At 43.7% G+C, this 24223-nt stretch overlaps 5 annotated features.

Annotated features, from left to right (window-relative positions):
* Positions 8665 to 9864: an enhancer, noted in NCBI's record as "BRD4-independent group 4 enhancer chr5:2850224-2851423 (GRCh37/hg19 assembly coordinates)". NCBI's record gives its function as "activates an origin of replication core promoter dependent on BRD2, P300/CBP, MED14 and CDK7 cofactors, and independent of BRD4, by STARR-seq in HCT116 cells {active_cell/tissue: HCT116}" and the evidence as "EXISTENCE:reporter gene assay evidence [ECO:0000049][PMID:35650434]".
* Positions 20887 to 21625: an enhancer, noted in NCBI's record as "H3K27ac-H3K4me1 hESC enhancer chr5:2862446-2863184 (GRCh37/hg19 assembly coordinates)". NCBI's record gives its function as "activates a minimal SCP1, AML or CMV promoter by ChIP-STARR-seq in naive H9 embryonic stem cells {active_cell/tissue: H9 hESC(naive)}" and the evidence as "EXISTENCE:reporter gene assay evidence [ECO:0000049][PMID:30033119]".
* Positions 21626 to 22363: an enhancer, noted in NCBI's record as "H3K27ac-H3K4me1 hESC enhancer chr5:2863185-2863922 (GRCh37/hg19 assembly coordinates)". NCBI's record gives its function as "activates a minimal SCP1, AML or CMV promoter by ChIP-STARR-seq in naive H9 embryonic stem cells {active_cell/tissue: H9 hESC(naive)}" and the evidence as "EXISTENCE:reporter gene assay evidence [ECO:0000049][PMID:30033119]".
* Positions 22364 to 23101: an enhancer, noted in NCBI's record as "H3K4me1 hESC enhancer chr5:2863923-2864660 (GRCh37/hg19 assembly coordinates)". NCBI's record gives its function as "activates a minimal SCP1, AML or CMV promoter by ChIP-STARR-seq in naive H9 embryonic stem cells {active_cell/tissue: H9 hESC(naive)}" and the evidence as "EXISTENCE:reporter gene assay evidence [ECO:0000049][PMID:30033119]".
* Positions 23102 to 23839: an enhancer, noted in NCBI's record as "H3K4me1 hESC enhancer chr5:2864661-2865398 (GRCh37/hg19 assembly coordinates)". NCBI's record gives its function as "activates a minimal SCP1, AML or CMV promoter by ChIP-STARR-seq in primed H9 embryonic stem cells {active_cell/tissue: H9 hESC(primed)}" and the evidence as "EXISTENCE:reporter gene assay evidence [ECO:0000049][PMID:30033119]".

Genomic DNA, 24223 nt, shown 5'->3' on the forward strand with positions numbered 1-24223 from the left:
ACGGCTGGCCAGCTGCCTCCACCCCTCCCCACATTGCCCTTGCCATCTATCACAATGCATGCTTGTGGATGCAAGGTGGAAGATTGTGTGGGGAAAGTCAAGGGGCTTTTCAAAATGAAAGGTCAGGAAACATTCTTCTTGGCCAGTGAGAGTTACTCCTTGCACTGGTTTTATATCAGGTAGTGCTGGGAGCACTGGGCTTGCTAGCCTGCACCTTAAAACATGCGTCACCTGGGAAAGAAGAAAAGCAGTGCAAGGTGAAAAAGGAAATGAATTTCTGCACACTCCTCTTTGGCTCCAGGCACTCTATAGATCCTACCACTCTTAGTTTCTTATAATGATCCCCTGGGATCGATCGTGTTATTATTGTGATTTAAAAAATGGGCAACCTGAAGCTAAAGATGATTAAGGAACTTGTCAATGATCACAACAAATGTTGGTAAAATGAGACCAACAGACACCTTGCCATTACCACTTTGTGGTCACTGCGCAGTCCTCTGCAGTGGCTGGGAGCTCTTGCAAGGTGTCTGTCAGTTCCTTTTGGTGAGTCTAAGGGGCTGTGCCAGGCGGTAGGGGCTCCCTGTCTGTGTCTCCCACTCTCCATCATTCCCACTTCTCTGCCAAGTTGTGCAATGCAAGAAGCTGGCTTGATCTGGAATTTAGGATAACTCAGGTTTACAATGTCGCTGTGATAGTTGATAGTTGATCTGTTAGCAGCACTGACAGTATGGCAGCTCTTGGGAGGGTCAACTCTGGCATAGCCTGTAGACACCTGAGTGCCTGTCAAGTTGATTTTGCAGCAAGTAAAAGGTGTTTATCTAACACATCCCCCTTGGCAGTGCAGGCTGACTTCCTCAGATGGTGTCCAACTACTTCCAGTGGGTTTCCTGAGGAGCCTTTCTCTGTCACATGAGGCATGGAACACCTGCCCTTGGGGATGGCCTAGGCAAGCACAAGGACACCCTCAGGTTGGCTTGTCTGAATGAGCACTTATTTAAGCACTTATTTTTACCAAAGTTTATGTCATTGGGAGAGATTTTCAACCATCTGGTAAGATACAAAGCCTCCTGAATTTTCCCATCTGCTTCTGGTATTTCACTCCCCATGATGTCATGTGTGTATGTGTCAGACAGTTAGAGATGGGGCAGGCTGTTGGTGAACTATAGGAGACCCTACCCGATGGGGAATCTCCCAGGTGTCTGAGGTCATGAACCCCATCTGTGTCACTAAGGTGGCAGATGAACACATGCGTGTCTTGCCTATTGAATAATTACATTTAGAACACATGTTCCTTTGTTGGTTAAATACTTGAGATAAGTACCAGTTCAATGCTTTACATTTTTCTACTGCATAAGGCAGGCTGACTTTTTTTAAAAAATCAACACTTACGGAGCTCCTCCTGTGTACAGAACCTGCGGTCAGTGTTTTCTAAGGTTATGGCATTGCAGTCGCACAACAACCTTGTAAAACTTATACTGCTGTATTTCAGATGAGATGGCTGGGGTGCAGCAGTGGCTGACCATTGGCCTGGCTTGCACGGCTGATAGGCGGTGGAGCTCAGGATTCTGCTCTGAACTGCTTGCTCCAGGGCTCATGCGCCTTCTCCATCATGCTCCCCCATGGAGATGCCCCAAATCCAGATGAAAGGATTGTTTGCTGAGCCTGACCATATGCCACGAGCAAGCATTGGCTATTTCCCATTGGTAGACGAAAGTGGGACCGTCAGGAGCATAGCGGTACCCCCTGTCAAAGGTAAAGAAAGGGGTTCAGGAGAACATCTGGTGAATTGCCCAGGGATCTCCACCAGAGCTTAATGCCCCTCTCCTGTCTGTTGGCTTCATGCATCCTAGCTACCCTCTTGCAATGAAAGAGTATGTGGGAAAAGGCCTCATGTATCTCTTTCAAAGATTAGTGCTTAATAAACATTTGTTAAAACATAAATTAACAGGCATTATCCTTTTTAAACACAATTTTTTTGAGGTAAAATTTACATACCATAAAATTCATCCATTTTAAGTGTATAATTTGATGACTTTTAGTAACTTTACGGAGTTGTCCAACCACCATCAAAGTCTAATTTTAGGATGTTTTAGGATGTTTCCATCACCCCAAAAAGAAATCGGGTGTCTACTTTCAGTGACTCTTCATTCTCACCCCCAGCCCCTGACAACCACTCATCTTCTTTCTGAGCACTCCAAGCAAATGGGATGAAAATGTGTTTGTGTGACATTTTTGACTGGCTTCTTTCACTTAGCATAATATTTTCAGACTTATCCATGTTGCAGGTTGATGTTCACTCCTTCTTATTGCTGAATACTACTGCTCTGTGTGGATATACCACATTTGTTATCCATTTGCCAGGTGAAAAACATTTAGAGTGTTGCCACCTTTGCACGCTAGGAAGAATGTTCTGTGAACGTTCACACACAAGTCTTTGTGTTGAAATATGTTTTGTTTTATCTTGGGTAGATTCCTAGTAGTTAGGATCTCCTTAACACGCATATAGTATTCAAACTTAAGAAAGTCTAAATGCTCCTTTTCTCAATGTTTAAATAAAGCATTCTTTTTTTCAGAGAGTAAGCACATGCATGTATGCTCTTTTCTAAATATGGCTGGGGTAATGAACTTAATTTTGAGAACAGATGAAGGTTCTGCAAACTCCCCATGTATATCAGTTACATATCTTGTTTCCTCTTTAGGACATTTGGAGAGTGTAGACTAAGCCTGAGATCTGTGTGAAGGACACAGATGATGAATATATCTTGCAGGAGAGAGCAGAAAGGAAGTTTTGCTCCTCAATTAATAGGATCGACGAAACCAATTGTTGTTGAGTGAGAGGAAATCCTCCTATCACCAAATGTCCCATTATTTCTCCAGCTAGAACAGTGATTGTCACATGCATCCGTCAGGATCACAGAGATGAAACACCTGAGACCGGATCTAAAGGGAGGAAAATGCCCGGAAATCTGCTAGTCCTGTTCTTTTGGTTGACTGCAGATGAAACTAAAATGTTGCACTTACAAAACTCATGTGTTAAAACTCCTGCAATTACAAAGGAAAAATCATATCTGAGGCGTTCAGTTTCCACGTGTAACATTTGAGTATGTAGATGAGAAGTAAGATTTGGGTCAGCTAGATCATACACATGAGTGGAGATTTCTGGACTATTAACTTTTCTTTGTGAGAATAGTTCAAAAATTAGCCTGCATACACCATCGGCACCAACTTTATAAATCTGTAATGCATATTTCCTCATCTTTCAGAATAAAAATAACTACAAGTAATGCTGATATTAAAATGTTATTTGATGAATTCTACAAAGCCGCCTGGTAATTTCTGGGGATGTTGCCCATTGGACGCCACTTCTAGATTTATTTGGCCAGCACTGTTATTCTCACATGACACCTCCAAGATGAAAAACTGGGTGGGAAAGAGCCTTTTTCTCTCCCCTAGCATATACCAACCTCCAGGCTCCCAGGAGGAAATTAAAAAAAAAAAAGATTATTGTCCAATAAAGCCCCTCGATGAGGATTTGGATCCAACTGTCAGGCTGTTGTTTAGAACTTTACCCTGGAAATTCTAGTTATGAATACGCAAGCTAAAATATTTGAAAGCAAGAGACAAGATCAACATAATTTTCAGAAAATGGCTCTTCACCTAGAAAACTCAAGAAAGGCAATAAAAACCATTTACACTGTAAGACAGTTTAGCAAAATATCTAGTTACAGAACAACGAAGTGAATGAGTTCATTTGATTCAATGATTACATTTGAACAATAACCTGGGCCTCTGCTAACCATGAACGGGATAGAAAGTATTATGGAAACAAACTTCATTTTCTATAATGACAAAACCTTAAAAATGCTAAGAAACAATGTAATAAAAGTATACAGGAAGTTGAAGAATAAAATTACATAACAAGAAAGAAGCCTAGTAAAGAGAAAAATGCAAGATTCTTGGGCAAAATTTAGTATTATAACCAACCCTCCATGAGTTAACTTACAAACAGTATATGATTCCAATCAGAATGCTAGGGTTTATCTAAAAGGCTGCATGAATATTACATTCCACATATTTTAAAAGAAGACTAAGAGATTATCAACTTCCAGATATTACATCACAAAGTAAGGCTACAATCACTGTAGAGAACTGAAGAGAAGAGACAAAACTAGAGACAAAAACATCCAGAAATTCCAGAAGCAGTCTAAATTCTGAAGAAGCGGTTAATAGCTGATGTGTGAAGCATTTCAAATGATCCAGAAAAGGATCAAGTGTTAAATAAACAGTACTGAGAAAAAAATAAAATAAGATCCCCACTGCTCACCTTAGCTAAAGCAAGTTCCCATGGGGTTGGCATGAAATGTAAAAAGGGAAATTGGGAGAGCGTCCACATAAAGGTGCGGTGGGTGTCATCTTCCTAAGAATAACATCAGAGATAGAAACCACAAAAGACTAATAGAGCAGATTAAAGAAAACCAACAGAAAATGGTCCTCCAGTATTTGTAGCGGTCAATAAGAAATACTGGAGAGAGAGAGAAAGGGGGATGGGGATGGATTAGGAGGCATTGGCTCATATGATTATGGAGGCTGCGGAGTCCCATGACCTGCCTCTGCAAGCTGGAGGCCCTGGGAAGCTGGGGGTGTAATTCAGTTCAAATCCAAAGGCCTGTGAGCAAGGGGGACCATGGTGTGAGTCCCAGTTCAAGGGCCAGAGCAGATGAGATGAGATGAGCTGTCTCTGCTGAGAAGTAAGACAGAAAAAAGGGGCCAAATCCCTCTTCCTCTGCCTTTTGCTCCACTCAGGCCCTCAATGGATAGGATGAGGCCACCCACATTGGGAGGGCACCTGCTTCACTGAGTCTAAGGACTCCAAGGCTGATCTCATCTGAAAACACCCTCCCAGACACACCTGGAAATAATATTTATTCTGAGCACTCTGTGGTCAGTCAAGGTGACACGTTAAAATTAAAGGTCACAGCATTGAATCAAAAGCACCATAATCAAATGAAAAGGCAAAGAGAAAAACTGGGGACAACTTGCAGAGCTGTCCTAGGCTGGCCAGGGGCTTCTACTGTGCATGTGGAATAATGAGAAACTAAACAATAATGGGAAAATCAGAATAAAACATAGAAATGACATTAATAGCTTTCTGTAGAAGATAAATGCGTAAACATTAAAACTATTTGGCTTCATTGGAAATAAAAAGTTCCTAAAAATTTAGATTAAAAAGCTTGAGATTATTTTTTTTTTAATTTTTGAGATTAAAAATTTTATAATTGACTAAGATTAAAAAAACACTAATGCTCACTGCTGGTGATGCTGTAGGGGAGGAGAGAGAGGCAGAACCTGCCGGGATGACCTTGTGTCAACAGCATCTTTCTGGAAGACATCTTTCTGTGTGTGTATCATACATAAAACCACACTTTGTTATATGTATATAATATATGTATATAAGTATAAAAATTGTGTTAGGGCTGGGTGCAGTGGCTCACTCCTGCAATCCCAGCACTTTGGGAGGCCGAGGCGGGTGGATCATGAGGTCAGGAGTTTGAGACCAGCCTGATCAACATGGTGAAACCCCGTCTCTACTAAAAATACAAAATTTAGGCGAGCGTGGTGGCACACGTCTGTAATCCCAGCTACTCAGGAGGCTGAGGGAGGAGAATCACTTGAACCAGGGAGGCGGAACTTGTAGTGAGCCGAGACTGCGCTACTGCACTCCAGCCTGGGCAACAGAGTGAGACCTTGTCTCAAAACAAAACAAAACAAAACATATATATATATATATATATATATATATATATATATATATATATATATATATATACATGCACACACAAAGAATAAATGAATGTAATGTTTTTATAGTAAGAATTGTAGGTTAGTTTAAAAATATTTTCTGAGTGCTTTTTGCATTGAGCATACTTTGATAATATAAGAAATATGAAATATTTTTTGAAAGTAGGATGCTTTAGTTGTTGAAAGTGTAATTAAAGAAGTAGAGTAGTAAATAAATTAGAGTAATATATAAATAATTGAGCTTTTTAAAAAATAATCCTTATATTTCTGAAAAGGGAAAATACTGATCCAATTACGGATACTAAATACAAGAATCAATCTTAGTACATCAGGCTCAGGGAATATGAGAAAGACACAGGTGAAGCTGAGTTTATGTTTTCTCATCTGCCGGTCCATGGCAGGACATGAAGAGTTGGGTAATTTATGGTTTGGAACGCATGCTCACTTTTGCAGGACTTTGGAAAGCCAAGTCTAATTACACCCAAATCATAGTTACTCCTGGAGGCGTTGCCTGTGTACGAATCCAACACCAACCGGATGTTCCTCAGGAGACCGTTTCATAGACCATGGGCTGCTGCACTGCAGTGTGGACGGGCATGAAATAACTTGCACTCCCATCATTTATGTGGGGGTTTGAATGCAAACAGCGAGTATGCATCTTATTAAGAAATGCGTGTCACCCAGCTCCATAGCCTCGCTGGAAATTCCAGCTACCCGAAGCAGGAATGAGGATGCCAACATTAATACACACACACAAAGACATTTTTCAGCTCAGGGACAAGACTTTCATAGCCAACTTTCTGCTGAGCGACCCAGTGAAATGAATTCACGATTATTTTGAATGAGCATAGTTTTAAAAACCTTACTAAAATATTCTCTGATTTTACAACATTTGATAAAGTCAGGGAGCTTTTTGATGTGTTTTCTTTCAAAGTGAATGGATGCTGTTTTGGCAACTTTGATATTTCATTTGAAAGGAGCATAATAAACTGTTTTCTTTGTATTGATTGAAGAAATATAGTGCTTATTTTTTTGCTTGGTTTTCTAGTAGTTATTCGATAGGTTAAAGGGCAATGCCATCTGTTTCCTAACAGGACATTTTGTGTAAGATTTGCAAGTCCTACAGGCACCTTTAAGCATGGATAAATATGCACTCTTGGTTTCAGATGGGTAGTTTTTTACTACCAAGGGATGATTATGTTGTGTGCCTTGAGACATTGGCTATAATATATTTCCTGTCCCTTTATTGCATTTTGGAATCATAAACAATGACTGTTTGGCTCAAAGCCATTTATTCAGCCCAAAAAGACATTATTTGCACAACAAAAATCAATAAAAATGTTACCAGGTCTGGCTGGATACTTTGCTTAACTGTGATATTTGTCTATCACTGATGGCATGCCATCTCTCGCAGGAGACTGGGGCCAAAACACAGCTATTGATCCAGTCAGCGGTGATGGATACTGGCATTTGGAAAGGGCTGCTGTAGAGAATCTCGATTAAAAAAATATTTCTAGGTTTTGCCTGCAGCAGAGTCAAGATAACCCGAGTGAGGAGATTTTCTCTGTTCTGTTGGGTTTCTCCCTCTTGTGGTGGAGAAGTGCTCCGGACCAAAGTCATTATTGAAAGAATTAAGTCAATCTGTGTTTCGCCAAAGGCTTTGGCATCGCATCAAGCTTAGCTGATTTAGACACGACCCCCCGTCATTTTCGTCACCTTAAAGCATCAGGAAGGCATTTTATATACACCAAGGGTAGGGAAGAGCTGCGAGGATGATCTTGCTTGCCTTTTTCCTCTTTTTACATTATCTGTTTATGTCTAGAAAAAACAGGGCAAACTGCTTCCCCCAAACAATTAACTCTGTGGCAGAGCACTTCCAAAATGTACAATTTAGTCAAGACTGAAGGCATTAACGCAAATGGAACCAATGTGATAGGCAAGACATACCAAATAGGTTAAAGACAATTTACTGCACTGAGCTTGAGGAAAAAAAATGATGTATTATCCTCTGGTCCCATAAATTTAAAATATAAAACTGTTTTTCATGTTTCACTTGATATCTCCCCACTTCCAGCATGAATCTGAGTCTCAGAGCCACAGTGGAAGGTGGCAGAAGGTTGAAAATACTTTTACTTTATTTTACTTCATTTCATTTTATTTATTCATGTACTTATGCCAGACCTTTTCCAAAAACAATTCATGGGAAAGGTGAGCTATTTGAATAGAGGTCCAGCATTCACGGGACGACAAGGTACACTCTCTGAGCTGTAACCCAGTGGTGGCGGGCTGGATTTCCAAACTCCATGACGTTCCTCAGGTTCACAGCAACATTTAGCAGCCAGACTCTGTGCAGTGTGTGTGTGCTTTGGGGTGGGGAAGGGGGCACTCCCAACAGCAGCTCTTCACTGGATCCCAAATTTCATCCTAAAAGTAGTTCATTTAGTTCTCCAACTGGCCCGAGGGGCTGCTCTTTCTTTACGTGGGTCAGACATGGCTGTGCAAGTCCAGCACAGGGAAGTCACTCTGCCCTATTTTTGTTTTACTGATTGTCTTGGATATTGTCCTTTCATTTTTAAACTAGAGACTGATCATAAAGTCTGTCCATGTCACTATGATTAAGTATTATTTTTAATCTCTAGAATACTCTGCTTGGGGTGGAAATAATTAGAAGTAGCAATGAAAAAAATCAACTGTTGTTGCTATTGTTGACTATTTTCAGGTGAGAAATTGGGTCTGGAGGATTAGATTTCATCGTGAACAATGTAGAGGCGCCTCAGCTATTTCTTTCTGTGAATTGTTTTGCAGCTGAGATCCTGTCTACTAGAGGTATGTTTTGCACTAATGATAAATGAATTTTTTTAGTGTTTCACTTTGTGTATGATTTTTCTAAGCTTGTATTATGGTCCCATTTGTAAGTAGACAAAAAGTGCCATATCACGATAACTGAAAGCTTCGTTTATAGAGATTAAATGTCTAATAAACACTTAGAGCATTGTAATTACATTTCTGATTGCAAATACACATATAGTATATATACACCTGATATACATAAAACTATATAAAGTATATGCATACATCCACATACTGTATACATTTGTATGTGTGTGGCCATTTCCTGGGCTAGGTAATAGTTAATGCACTTACTACACCATATTCTTTAAAAGTATATTTTCTATGACGCTAGATTTTTTCATTCTGAAGTACTCACATGAACGGACCTCTTGAAGCTGCCGCTTCAGATGATTGCTTAGCTACTGCTTGTATCCCCTTTAGAAAAACTGTCTTCTAACGGTCTTCCTGGAACGAGGAATGTGTGACGCCTCTCACTGCTCCTGAGAGCACCAACTCCCAGTCGCCATTCACGTTAACTTTCCTAAACCTGCATGTTCACCAATAATTAAAACTTACTTCCCTTTTATCCTGCAGCACAGAAAAATCAAGCAAGCTCTCTGAGCCTACAGCGGATGCCCTTTGAACACTGAGAGACACACACAAACCCGTGGCACGTTCCTCATGCAACAGCTCCCTCCAATTTCAGAAGAGTCGATGCTAGGAAGCACCTTGTAAGTGTCAGTGAATGAGCAGCTCTGCCCTCAGTAGATTTTTGTCTTATCCTGTCCTGCTGGTTTTCCTAAAAATTTACATCGGCTTCAAATAATATCTATTTTGCAAGTTGAAGAATAGAACGGTGGATGTTTTTCTTTGATTACCGTCACTTCATTTACAGTGATTCCATTTTTAAAATTCATTCCAAACTAGATTTGTCTTACTGCTGTTAGTTCTCTTTAGTAGCTGGTTTTATATAAATGGCTTCAGTGTGAGATCTTGAATTTTCAATCTTGATAAAGTGGGTAATAGTCTCTTCCTTGTAGAGTGTGATTGTGAGCTGCAATATTGGACGGAAAAGTGTTTGTGCTTGGGAGAAACTCCAAGAACAATACATTGTTGATGTTGTTTTTAATCAACTGAAAAATGGCCTAATTAGAGGACTTTAACAAAGATTTGTTGAAAGATTGTTGAGGGGAAGGTGCATTTAGTTTAAGTTTAATACTACATCTAGTTACATTAATTGGAGTTAAATTGTCTTTTCAATAAGTAATCCAGCAGAGTGTGAGTGGTGAATTATCTTCATTTGAACAATAAAAGGCCACCAGCCTGGAGTTGTTTTTGAAGAAGCATAGGCCAAGGATAATGTCTGTTTCACAAGTAAATCCAAGTCGGCCATGGAGATGACGTCTTGGTTTTCTCACAATGCCATCCGTCGGTGCCCTGCGGCAGTACCATTCTAGGTTGTTATTAGGAGCAAGCAGTATGTAATGGTATCCAAACCATATGTGTTGGCTGGGGAGTCCGGTGGGGGATGAAAAATTTACTTAGCATGTAATTCATTAGCAAACCTAGGACTGTGCAGAAATATTGTATTCAGATGATGCTTGTGAGATCTAAATAGAAACTGTAACACACGGTAGAGATTGAGTAAATACTTTTCTACTCCCAGATCGATTCTATTGATTGTCATTAAAGCGGCAAGCTCAAAACAATGAAGTGGTTTCTAATTTCTAGGCTCCAGGTGGAACCTGCCCTGTTTCTTCCTCTTTCCAGTTAAGAGCATCATTAAATGTATGAGCAAACAGCACATTGAGAGGCCAAGTGTTTTATTAATTCATCATCAGAATTATCTCAGTGCATTAATATTAATAGCTTCAAATTGGATTTCATTGAAGAGGTGAAATAAATATGCAGATAGTAAAAGCCTGCACAGCCAAGAGCTTTCCTTCCAATGGGACGTTCACCTCCGGCTTTGCCTCAGGAGGGTTGCGGGCCCTGCTTTTCTCCCTGGGCTGGAGCTGCCTAGAGGGAGACCTGGCACACAGAAATGTTCATTTCAGAGCAGGGAGCATGCCTGGCCCGGCCCACCCAGCCTCTGCCTCTCTGTAGGAATGAAGTCTGTGAGCTCTCTCTAACATTCTGTGTATGAAAGAGGCAGATACAACACAAGGAGAGTCATTTCTGTAGTCATGTTTCATTTCAAAATGGAGACGGGAAGAAGAGAAATTGAGTCATCTTGAGTTATACAAGGGCAAGAGATTCCAGGAGGAGCGTGAAAATGATTTGCTTTTTTGTTCAGAAAAGTCTTTGATATAATTGAAGATAAGTAGAACTTCCTTGGTGTATTTTTTTAAAAACCCTGTCTGCAATTTTCTACCTAGCCACATTTGCTTGCTAGGGCTGCCATAACAAAACACACTGTGGTATAACACAGTGGGAGTTTGTGCTCCCACAGCTCTGGATGCAAGGAGTCTGAAACCAAAGCACTGGCAGGACCAGGCTCCCTCTGGAACTCTGGGTGGCCTCGCCTTGCTCTTTCTGCCTCTGCTCATGGCCAACAACCCTTGGCCTTCCTTGGTTTGCAGCTACATTTCCCCAGCCTCAGCCTGGGTGTCAGTCAGGTGGCTGTCTCCCTGTGTGTCTCTTTATAAGAATAGCTGAAGGCACTAATGACATTACCTTAACTTCATTGCACCTGCAAGCACCCTCAGTCCAAATAAGGTCAGTCACAAGTGTCTGAGGTTAGGATTTTAACATGTTATTTTAATCCTAATTCAACTGGTAACACCAAGATAATTTTGAAAATGGAAAAAAATGTGTTTGTAAACCAGCGTACCTAAAGTCTTCAGAGACTGCCAGTAACACCTGAGGAAAGCCCCGGCGATGCGGAGCAGGGGAGGATGAGGGCTGCGAAAGGCGGCGTGACTGGCAGATGCTGAGGCCAGTCCTAGAAGGCTGTGTCCTTGTGGCTCCATGTGAAAGGTGCAGATGTCCCCCACCCCCAAACTGCTTGCACTTATGCTCTGTGACCAACTCCTCCCTGAGACCCCTGGGCAAGATTCTCTCAGGATAAACCATGTGGCTCCCAGGGCACCGCATCCAACTCTACATTGAATGGGGAGCGGGGAGTCTGGTCCAGAGGACAGACAGAGTGGGCCCCCTGGGTGGAAGGATGCCCGGCAGGATGACTGCAATGTGTGGAAGGTTCTGGGCCTTCAGGGGACCTGTGGGGTAAGAATAAACTGAGCAGCTGCACTGGATCTTTCCCACCATTCTGCATCTGCTTTGTCCTCCTGCTCAATGTAACTGGCTCTGTTTAAAATCCTGCGCTTCTTTGGGAAGACTTGGGCCCTTCTCAGGTATGCTGGGACTTTTGACAATCCCCTTCCTAGAACATTTGCACCCTTTGTGCAAGATGAAAGAGGAAGAGAGTTGCGAATTGAGGCTCTTACAAGCATATGGGCTTTAAGGTAAATATGCCATGTGTATTAGTCCATTTTCACACAGCCATAAAGAAATACCCAAGACTGGGTAATTTATAGAGGAGACAAGTTTAATTGTTTAGTTGACTCACAGTGAACCCTGTGTGTCTCTTTATAAGAATACCAGCTATCCTGGATGAAGAGCAAGGTGAGGCCACCCAGAGTTCCAGAGGGAGGACTCAGGAAACTTATAATCATAACGGAAGGCAAAAAAGCAGCAAGTGCTTTCTTCACAAGGCAGCAGGAACAGAGGAGAGCAGGGGAGACCACCACTTATCAAATCTCGATAGAACTCATTCACTATCACGAGAACAGCATAGGGGAAACCACTTCTGTGACCCAGTCACTTCCCACCAGGTCTCGCCCTGAACATGTGGGGATTATGGGGATTACAATTCGAGATGAGATTTGGGTGGGGACACAGAGCCGAACCTTATTGTGTCCTTTCAGTGGGTTCTTGTTCTCGCTGACTTCAAGAATGAAGCCGTGGACCTTCGAGGTGAGTGTTACAGCTCTTAAAGATGGTGTGTCCGGAGTTTATTCCTTCAGATGTTCAAATGTGTCCAGAGTTTCTTCCTTCCAGTGTGTTCCTGGTCTCGCTGACTTCAGGAGTGAAGCCGCAGACCTTCGCAGTGGGTGCTACAGCTCTTAAAGGTGGCGCGTCTGGAGTTGTTTGTTCCTCCTGGCGGGTTCGTGGTCTTGCTGACTTCAGGAATGAAGCCACAGCCCCTCGCAGTGAGTGTTACAGTTCATAAAGTTAGCGCAGACCCAAAGAGTGAGCAGCAGCAAGATTTGTTGTGAAGAGCGAAAGAACAAAGCTCCACAGCATGGAAGGGGACCCCAGTGGATAGCTGCTGCTGGCTGGTGTGGCCAGCTTTTATTCCCTTATTTCTCCCTGCCCACATCCTGCTGATTGGTCCATTTTACAGAGTGCTGATTGATGCATTTACAAACCTTTAGCTAGACAGGCTGCTGATTGGTGTGTTTTTACAGAGTGCCGATTGGTACGTTTACAATCCTTTAGCTAGACACAGAGTGTTGATTGGTGCGTTTACAATCCTGTAGCTAGACACAGAGCACTGATTGGTGCATTTACAATCCTTTAGCTAGACACATAGCACGCAATCCTTTAGCTAGACAGAAAAGTTCTCCAAGTCCCTACTCGACCCAGGAGCCCAGCTGGCTTCACCTCTCAATATCAGCACCACCTCCCTACCAGCCCTGAGAACACCTGGCTCCAGCTCCTCCCTGCAGGACCAGGTGCCCAACAGAGTGGTCTCTCGCTGCCCAGGGCACTCAACTCAGGGTGAGTGTCAGCTTTCCCCAGCTGCGTGACTTTAGGTAACTGGAATAATGTTCTGTCATTTAAATTCTTATTTACCCACCTCAGCACTTAGAGATTGAGTTATTATATTATAATGTATTCCCTTAAAACATTTTGGAAGAGACATGCATAATCCCACATAATGGATAATTTCTATTTCTCAAATTGTATTTCAAATGAGCAGTTAATGATTTCTGAGACTAGAAACTTAAACAGAAAGGAAATGAACAGAATCCTGTAATTAACCACGTGCTAAAATGAACTTTTGGGGAGGAGAAATTCATTGAACATGCAAATATATTTTTATACATTGCTTCTTTCCTAAATAATGCAAAATAGTATGCAATGGGGGTAGGAGCGCCTTTCTAGGAAGACTGTCCCTAATCAATTTTTCTATACAAATACTGCTGAGACTGGAAGCTCAGTACTACTGTTATTCTGTTCAAGAATCCTGATCTCAAGTAAAGCGATCTCTCTCCAGTGTCTATATGGGATTTTTGTTGTTGTTGTTGTTGCTTAACCATTGCTTGAAGGATCAAGTTGTGGTCTTTAGGACTTTTTGCAGTTAAGAAGTGTATGCCTATAAATTATACTCATACTAGGTAGACACAGAGGAACCGAAGAACCAAGACCCACCCCCAGATGTCAATGTGCCAGGGTCCTGGGCATATTCAGGGCCTTGGTGGAGTTTTTTGGAAAACTTGAGGTACTCGGGGCACAGGCTCCATTTACTCCAGGATGGGGGCCCCGTGGGTGAGCACACACCTGGACTTGGCGCCTTTTTCCCAGGGCTCTGAGCCTGTCTGGACAGGAGCTGTAGCACCGGTCAATTAGGAATGGCATGGCCAAATCTCTTCAAGGCTCTGTCATCAGACATGCAAACCCAACAGCTGCCTTTTTGTAATTTGGGGCCATTCCCTCACCCTTGATCATTTTGTCACTGTTGTTCTTGAGCTATGCTTGAGGTAGCTTCCCTCCTAGATGCAAACATTCCGTTTCTAATGTAATTTTGGTTAATTTTAAGTTTACAAGAAAGAAGAAATCAGTTCAGTCTAATTGTAACAAAGTTAAAAATATACAAGTAGGTAGCTCCAATGGAGAGAACCAGGGTTCAACAGGGGAGAGTAAACACATTGTTCCATTCCCTTCCAGGATCCCAGAGAACAAAAGGAAAAAGAAATCAACAGTGCTGGGAAAGAAGGAAGGAAAGAAAGAGAGAGAAAGGAGGAAAACAGTAAAACTTGAAAGATCATGTGGTGAAATGAATGTGAAATCCTGGATCCAATTTGTTCTCTGTTTCCTCTTCTCCACGGTTTTAGGATTTTCTCAAGCTTCCTAGTACATTGCTGCATTAATTTTCAGATAAACATTCCAAGAGAAGCCTCATTCTTCCCAAAGAAGCCCTCATTTACATTGACATTTTCCCTGAATATTCCCTAAGCGAGAATTCCAAGGCCTCCCCTCCTCTGTGGACTGTCCATGTGGACAATGGCACGTGTATCTATGTATCCATGTGGGTGCACACAGGGTAGGGTCGTTCCTGTTGTAGGGATGGCACTGTTTTCTCCACCCCGCTCCAAATCTTGTCTTGCTCACTGCACACGGCCTGTGTTGGCCCCTCTGGTGTGTCCCGTCAACCCCCGTGCACCCTGCGTTGGGCTGCTTTACCTCGTGTGGTCAGACGGAACTGTGATCCGTTCTTCAGTTCCTCTTGGACGTCCGCCTCGTTGCTCATGTTTTGCTACTTCGAATAATGGGAATATATATATTCTTCAGAAACTTTCTTAGATATTGGTGATTTTAATTAGTTGCAATCGATTCCCAGGAGTCAGGTTTTGGGGCCACACAGTATGTCATTTTAATTTTAACAGTTGCTCCTAGATTGCTGGTCCAAAATCGAGCAATTCACAGCCCCACCAGGAATGTCTGGGAGTAACTTTTTTCTTAGCATCCCTATACTGGATGAATTCCATTTTTAAAAGCTTTCTTCTTATTTTAAGCTATGAGTTAGTAGATTAAAATAGTCAATAGGGCCGGGCACGGTGGCTCACACTTGTCATCCCAGCACTTTGGGAGGCCAAGATGGGTGGATCACCGGAGGTCGGGAGTTAGAGACCAGCCTGACGAACATGATGAAACCCCATCTCTACTAAAAATACAAAAATTAGCTGGGCATGGTGGCGGGTGCCTGTAATCCCAGCTACTTAGGAGGCTGAGGCAGGAGAATGGCGTAAACCTGGGAGGCGGAGGTTGCACTGAGCCAAGATCGTGCCACTGCACTCCAGCCTGGGTGACAGAGTGAGGCTCCATCTCAAAAAATAAAGATAAAAATAAATAAATAAAAATAAAATAGTCAGTAGAGTGTTTTCAAATTTCCAAGTTTTGAGTTTTCCTTGAAATGTTCACCGGGTTCTCTTTTATTGTTCTTGGAGAATTCAGTGTGCTGATTTCTACTGGGGAGAGATATTACTTGCATAATATTAAGGACCTCTTAAATTCATATCAGTTTTTGTACTTTTTTCATGTTTCAAAATAACATATACACTCTGCTTGTTGTACACCAGCAGCAGCAATTGTTTTTAGTTCAGGCTTGTCTTTCAAATCAAACATGTATTCATACTTCTCTGGGGATACTTTATCTGAGCGAAGAATGAATGTTCAAACTCTTCTCTATATTTCTACAAACTTTTACTTTATCTGTCTCTAAATTTATTGTTAGATAAAAAGGTTATTTATTTGTAACTTCTTGCTAGATTCTTATTTTTATTCATATAACACGCAACATAATAATAAAACTTATTTGTTCCTTTTAATCACTCTTTTCTTGGGTGCTATTTTCTTTGATAATTCCTTATCACTTTCATGCTGGGGCATTTTCTTTTTTTGCATAATGTTTGTGTGTTACTTGCTGTGGGAATCCCTTCCTATGTTTAGAAACAGTCTCCACCTCCTAGCATCCAAGTCCTTGAGTGTGGGCTGGAGCCAGTGATTTGCTCCTCTGGGCTGAATCTTGCAAGCAGGTGGATTACCATTCCCTCAACTAGGTGATAAAGGGACAGCAGCTACTCAGAGATCGTGCTCACCCTCCTGGGCTCCTCTTGTGTGCTCTGCCTGATGAAACATGCTGCCCTGTTGTGAGCCACCTGATGGAGAGGCCAGCTTTGTGTGGCAGAACACTGAGGGGGCTTCCTGCCAACAGCCAGACAGGAAGTGAGACCCCCCAGTCCAAAGACGCATGAAGAGCTAGGTCCTGCCAACAACCATTGAGTGAGTCTGAAAGTGGATCCTTCCCCAGTCAAGCCTGGAGCTGAGACTGCAGCACCAGCCAGCACACAGACTGCAGCAGTGACTGAACTGGAGGACTCAGCTCAGCCATGCCCAGATTCCTGACTCCAGGGAACTGTGAGATAATACCTGTATGTTGGTTTCAAGCCACTAAGTTTTGGGGTGGTTTATTACACCGTGATATGTAACTAACTTACTCTTCAGTGGAATATAGGCAGGAAGTCTATTTACTCTTAGACACTTTCTTCAAACAGTTGAGTTTAACCAACTCACCATGATTATTGTTCTTAAATATCTTTAGATTTATTTTGTTGCCTTATGTTGGTAGTTCTCTTAATATTTTAGCATATTTAATTAACTTAGACAAATTTTAAATTGTATTGTTTAAACATACTTTTTCTATGACTACCCAAATTCAATAAATTTTATCTTCCTGTATGAGATAAAAATCTTATATCCTCTCACTAAGCTTCCACACTAAGCTTTCATGTTAAAACCATCTCAGATACCATTTATAGATTTCTATCAGCATTGTCTTGTTAGGACTCAATTATTTTATATATGTAAAGATGAGTCTTACTTATTTCTTTCTTCATCATAATTTCATAAATCCCACACTGTTTTCTGAAGACTTGCTTTTGGTTTTTGCTTAAGAACATCCTTCAGTCATTTTTTTCCCTAGTGGCAACTTTCTGAGTTTGCTTTTCTACATATTTGACAATTTTTGTTTTGTCTTCAAATTTAAAGACATCTTATTTGAGACAGTGTTCTAGGTTTAAAATATCTTTCATTGTGAACCATTCTGTTTTCTCCGATGTTAGTTCTCCTGTTATTAAGATTGATACTTCTTTTTCCTAGTGTTTATTTTTCTAAGTTTAGGTTTGGGGTTGTTTCTATCTACCTGTATCTGTGGCAGTTCCCCCCGCCCGCCCCACAGTCTCAGGGAGAATCTCTACAATTATTGATGCTTCTGAAACATGGGGTGAGGCTTGTCTGTGCATTGATGTCTGGGGAGGTGTGTCTTTTGATCCTCTGCAGGGTGATGCCTGCTGGCATGTTGTTCTGCCTTCACCCGGCATTGCCCCTGGGAGCTCTTGGTTGCATCTGCCCCTGTGATTGTGGGCCTGGGTGAGTGAGCTGCATTCCACCATCATGAAGGAAGTTCTGAAGGCTCTGACTTCCGGTCAGTGCCCCCTCAGTGAGGGACTGCACCCTGCTGGCCCCACTCTCCAGAAGGCAACTGGTATCTTAGACAGCTGTCTGCAGCAAATAATAATCTTCTATTTAATGGAGTTTATTTCTCCTTTTGTTTTCAGTGGAGAACCTCTGGAATCACTTTCATCTATGAAGGAATTTTGTCTGTATTTTGGACTGTGATTTCTCAGTTTTGTTTTCTCTAAAGCTGATTGGTCTCTAAGAATTTCTCAATTTTTTTTTTCTGATGGGGAGGACATTCTGTTACCTGTTGTGTATTCTTCCCTTTGTCTAATCATCTCCAGGATTTATTCTTGCATGATATATTTTACTTATTATTTTATGACATTTGGGGTAGAAAGGGAACATATCTTGACATTCCATCCTAAGTTTCTTCTTCATGAAGGAGATACTATTGTTATGATGCAGTATGTTATTGAAAAAATTATTATCATTACTATTACCAAGAGCTATTGCACCAACACAGAACTTTCCAGAAGACTTGAAATCAAACAAAATTAATTTAGCTATAATCAATTATTTGCTGCAGGTAACCTTTCTAACCCTGTCAAAAAGACTGATAACAAATTCCACTTTCTTGTTATCAAGAGTTTAAATATTATTTTTAGTTTCATTTAATAATATATACTATATTATTTTGTGTTATATTTAGTATTTATACATAACTAGAAAGCATTCTTTCCTATCTATTAGTGGTTATTTATTAAAAAATCGTGCTAACTTGTGATGAGAACAGATTGTTGACACCATTCTAGCAAGCTCTCTGGCCTCGCCTGTTCTCCAGATCCGCTGGCTATGGGAGTGCAGGCTCCTGCAGGAACAGGAATGAGCCAACCACCCCGGCCCTCCTTCAGGGGCATCTGGACTGGGCAAACTCCAGTGTCCAAAGACAGGTGAGATGCAGGACCCACCCTGGCCCAAGTTTCTTTCCCTTTGTTTCTCACCGAATCAACCATAGCCATGCAGGAAATGGTGAGAGAGTGGACGGCCCTCCTGGTGTCCTCCTCGGTCGTCCGGGAAACAGATATAAAGGTCAGCCCCCACGCCACCCATGTGGAGGTCAGAGCCCTAGACCTCACATTATCAGCCTATACAGCAGAGCTGTGCAGAATCGTAATTTGAGATTATTTACTTTCCTAGTCAGGTTAATTAAAACCCTCAAGTCTGTGCCTATTCAAGCTAAATAATGTAATTTAAAGGACATTTTTCACCTGTTCATTATAGCCTTTACAGTAACCAACATTTTCCCTGAAATTACAAAATGGTTTTCATTTGTAATCTCTTGCGTCAAGATTTTCTGCTCCTGTCTGATAAATTTCCTTCAGGTTGAAAGTTAATCTAACATTCAGCTTAAGAGGTAGTAGTCGCCTTGTTTAAGGACTATGAGGCCCGGCGCAGTGGCTCACACCTGTAATCCCAGCACTTTAGGAGGCAGAGGCAGGTGAAACACTTGAGGTCAGGAGTTCGAGACCAGCCTCACCAACATGGTGAACTCTGGTCTCCACTAAAAGTACAAAAATTACCTGGTCATGGTGGCAGATGCCTGTAATCCCAGCTACTCAGGAGGCTGAGGCATGAGAATTGCTTAAACCTGGGAGGCAGAGGTCGCAGTGAGCCAAGATCATGCCACTGCACTCCAGCCTGGGCCACAGAGTAAGGCTGTCTAAAAACAAACAAACAAACAAAGAAAAAGTGGACTATGGTCAAAATTAATAGGCAGCATGGCGAGAAACCCAGTTAACTTAGCCAAGAGTTCAAGGCATGAGTCTCCCTAGCCTCAAGATTGCTGGCTCCAGTTTTCGCTGCCTAAAAAAGTATTGAAAATTTAGAAAGACAAAACAAACACAAAACAGAGAAAACCAATATTAGAAATATAAATAATGGCTTGTTGTCTATTTTTGAAAGTATTTTTTTAGGATCAGTGAGGTAATGCAGACGTGGTTAGTACTGGCAGCTGGTGTCATCCCACATATTGACTTGAAGAGGATTTTCTGGTGCAACTGGTCATCCAGACCTCTACGTGGGCCCAGCAGGCCATATCTCCTGCACCACCCATAGTTTTATGGAGAATGTGAATCTATAACCATTCAAGAACTCTCTGTATATTAAATTTAAAAACAAGTTCATACAAAGTTCATAGAAAAGGTAGATTTGTCATTTTGAACGGCAACCTTAAGTAAAAAGACAACGGAAAAAAGCAAGTAACTGTAAGTTTCCTGTAAGGCTTTAAAGGGACAGAAGTAAATTGCCAGGACATTTTTATGGAGTTTTTTAACCTCTGGCCTTTGGAGCGGGGGAATCAATAAGATATTAAGAAAATCATGAATTAATGCTTCATAGAGTGCAGACAACCTTAACTGCTCTGTGGTTTAGATGAATGGCTGGTCCGGAAACCCGGCCCCTCCCATCTGAAGTTGAAACACCAGTCGCTCTGCTGGGAACAGTGTTAGTCATTCTGCTCCTGTCTCCGTGGGACACTTCATAGAGTTACGGGAGTATTACAAACTTAGAATGTTATCTGGGCTATTAGGATGAAATCTCCCCAGGAAATGAAATACAAATAATCCTTTTCAAGTTAAGTGGAATCGCTTCTGTGACAATATTTCATAAGGATTTTCTAATTGACTCACATTATATTTAAGCGACTCTAGGCTACGGAGTTTGAATTTTGTAGAAATGATTCTGGGATAATTTTGGGATTCTGACTCCAAATTACTTATGTAAACATGGGCTTCTTTGGTGATCCCAGATTAGTAGCCTGGGCCCTGTCTCTCAGACTCTCTGCCCCTCCCTCCAGCTGGACCTGCCATCCAACTCCTGTCCCAGTGCCCCTCCCTCCCTTCCTTCACATGGCTCCTTAAGGAAGTTACTCCAGAGCCACTGTTCCTAAAATACCATTTCCAACTCCATTTCTTCCTACTCCAGTCCTTGCCTTCCCCTGACAGCGATCACACCAGCACCAGCCACAGCCACGGCCACGGTGCCAGTCATAGCCACAGCCACAGGGCCAGTCAGAGCCACAGCACCAGCCACAGCCACAGTCACAGCACCAGCTACAGCCACAGTGCCAGCTACATCCACAGCAGCAGCCACAGCCACAGGGCCAGTCAGAGCCACAGCCACAGCCACAGTGCCAGCTACAGCCATAGCACCAGCCAAGACACAGTACCAGTCATAGCCACAGCCACAGTGCCACTCACAGCCACAGCCACAGTGCCAGCTACAGCCATAGCACCAGCCAAGACACAGTACCAGTCATAGCCACAGCCACAGTGCCACTCACAGCCACAGCCACAGGGCCAGTCAGAGCCACAGTGCCAGCCACAGCCACAGTCACAGTGCCAGCCATAGCCACAGAGCCAGCTACATCCACAGCAGCAGCCACAGCCACAGTCACAGCACCAGCTACAGCCACAGTGCCAGCTACATCCACAGCAGCAGCCACAGCCACAGTCACAGTCACAGCCACAGTGCCAGCTACAGCCACAGCCACAGAGCCAGTCAGAGCCACAGAGCCAGCCACAGCCACAGCCACAGGGCCAGTCAGAGCCACAGCACCAGCCACAGCCACAGTCACAGCCACAGTGCCAGCCACAGCCACAGAGCCAGTCAGAGCCACAGAGCCAGCCACAGCCACAGTCACAGTGCCAGCCACAGCCACAGTGCCAGCTACAGCCATAGCACCAGCCAAGACACAGTACCAGTCATAGCCACAGCCACAGTGCCAGCTACAGCCACAGCCACAGAACCAGTCAGAGCCACAGAGCCAGCCACAGCCACAGTCACAGTGCCAGCCATAGCCACAGTGCCAGCCACAGCCACAATGCCAGCCACAGCACCAGCCACAGCCACAGTGCCAGCCACAAAACCAGCCACAGCCATAGTCACAGCACCAGCCACAGTGCCAGCCACAGCCACAGCCACAGTGCCAGCAGGCTTCAATAGGTATCTGTGCATAGGGGGCCAGTGGATTGCTCCCACCTTATCCAGGAATGTGGGCCCTGGGGGCCAGGCTCCTTGCACCCTGTTGGCAACTGTATTTGCAGCTCTCAGCATGGAGCCTGGTGTCCTGGCACTGGAGAGACAGAAGATGGAGCACCTGACTCTGGGGATGCTTTACATGAATGGACTGGCTCCAACTTCCCAGCAGCTCTGAGGCCTCCCCCTCCGTGTGCAGTAGTGGAGAGGAAATGTCCACGTCTCATGGCTGGTAGGGTTCAGATCTGGGACTCGGCTCTGGGTGTTTTGACCTCCAGATCCACATCTGCCCTGCGCAGAACAGACTAATGCATGTGTGGCCCTTCTGGGGGCCACGGCTTTAAAATGCATTTTCTCCTGTCATTCTCATGATGGGCATTAGAATCCCCATTGCACAGCTGAGCAATGGAGGCACAGAGAGCTGTGGGCTGCAGAGATCCAAGCCCAGGAGAGCTGGGGTCCCACCGGGTCCTTGCCTACATCTTCCCCAAGAAGGGCAGTCCCCTGGGCACGGGTTCCCTTCGAGGAGGGGCCGGAGTGACTGGAGGCAGAACTGGGATGGGGCAGGAGCTGCCTCTGCCCCGACATCATCCAGGCCTCCCTCTGGGTCATTGTCTGAGCTGAAATGGCCAACGGATAAGAAGATGCTTTCTTCAGAGGGCAGTTAGAGTGGTCTTTCTTCTTCATGCTGGGGGGAGGGGGAGGGGGAGGCAGGGGCAGGCCCTCTTACAGCCCCCTCAAGGGCACAAAGAAGCCCATGTTTCTTAGGATGATACAACCCAGTGCGATGGCCCAGGGACCTAAGAGGTCGACTCAGACTCAGACTCCGCGAGGCCCCATGCACGCCTCCTTTCCAGCCGCTTGGTGGGATGAGGGTGGGTGCAGGGGCTGCCGGCCAGAGCTGTCTCTGGTGAGGGGACTGAGGGGCAGAGGCAGGGGGAGGGTGACTTTTTACTTCAACCCCTTTTGTGCCGTGATCACATGTTGTCTTGTACCGGGGACACATGTTACCTACTCAGAACTACTCTTTTGCTCAGTTAAAAGAATCTCCACAAGAAGGGCCCCAGACTTGTAAGTGTGTAAGTTCTTCTAAGAATCAATATTTAAATTTTTTTCCAGCTAACTTTGCTGTTGAAGTAGCAGTGGAAGGGGACTGGGGCATGCCCAAATATAGAGAGACACTCAAACGGCCTCCCGCTCGAGACACAGGGCTTGGGAAATCCCCACCCAAACAGGCCTCATCCTACTCCAAAAACAGAGCCAACGAGACCTGAGCAACTGTCCAAAAAGAGACAAGCTGTCTGTAGGAGGAACGTGCAGGACCCTGTGTGCCCAGGGTCGTGGATGCCCACCGTGGAAGCCCAGGCTGGACAGTGCTGATGCTCCCAGACAGGACATGGCAAACCAGCACTGCAGCTAGCAATGCCCCCTGAATCAGGGAGCTGCCATTCCTATGAGCTAAGAAGCAGGTGATTGGGTATGTCTGTGATCAGCTCAGGAAGACAAGCTGCAGGCAAAACGGGGCTTTCTTAAACTAAGCGGTAGGCGTGGACTTTGGAACCAGCTGGGCTCGCCAATCAGCAGCAGCCAGGGATGCTCATTGGTGCCAGTTTTTCACAGGGAGAGGAGGCGGCAGTGGCAATGGTGCTCTCATTCAAAACTCCGGGAAGAGAGCCTCTCCTTTTAAACAGGAGTGGCTGGTATGAACGACTCTCAAAATGCAAGCTGTCCTGTAAGTGCTGACTCACAGGTGGTCACCAATATCACCTGGCTGGCTTCAGGGATCTCCAGTCACAGTCGTAGTGCTTAGATTCCGTGAGTCCAGTGGTTTGGGAATAATGCTTCATTTCCCGCCTGTCACTGGAGAGGGCTCTAAGACCTTAGCCCCCTGTTTTCTCTCTACAAACAACACTCAGTAAGCCAAGATGACGAAACCAGAGGATCCCCTCTTCCCAGTCTAACTAGGCTCTGTCTGCACAGCACGAATCGCCCAACTAGCCTTTCTATCTCCTGCAGGTTATTCAGGGCTTACATTTGCGACGACAATTTTCAGACTATTCATCTCTGTTGCTAGGTACACTATCACTAGCACGCATCCAGCCTTTGACATAGTCCTACTTTTTGATGCAAGCACACAGTTGAGGAAATATCATAGTTGCTATTGGTGTACGCCATTTTGTTTGTTTGTTTGTTTGAGGCAGAGTCTGGCTCTGTCACCCAGCCTGGAGTGCGGTGGCACTATCTTGGCTCACTGCAAGCTCCGCCTTCTGGGTTCACGCCATTCTCCTGCCTGAGCCTCCTGAGTAGCTGG

This window comes from Homo sapiens, chromosome 5, assembly GCF_000001405.40.
Source record: "Homo sapiens chromosome 5, GRCh38.p14 Primary Assembly".
Lineage (NCBI taxonomy): Eukaryota > Metazoa > Chordata > Mammalia > Primates > Hominidae > Homo > Homo sapiens.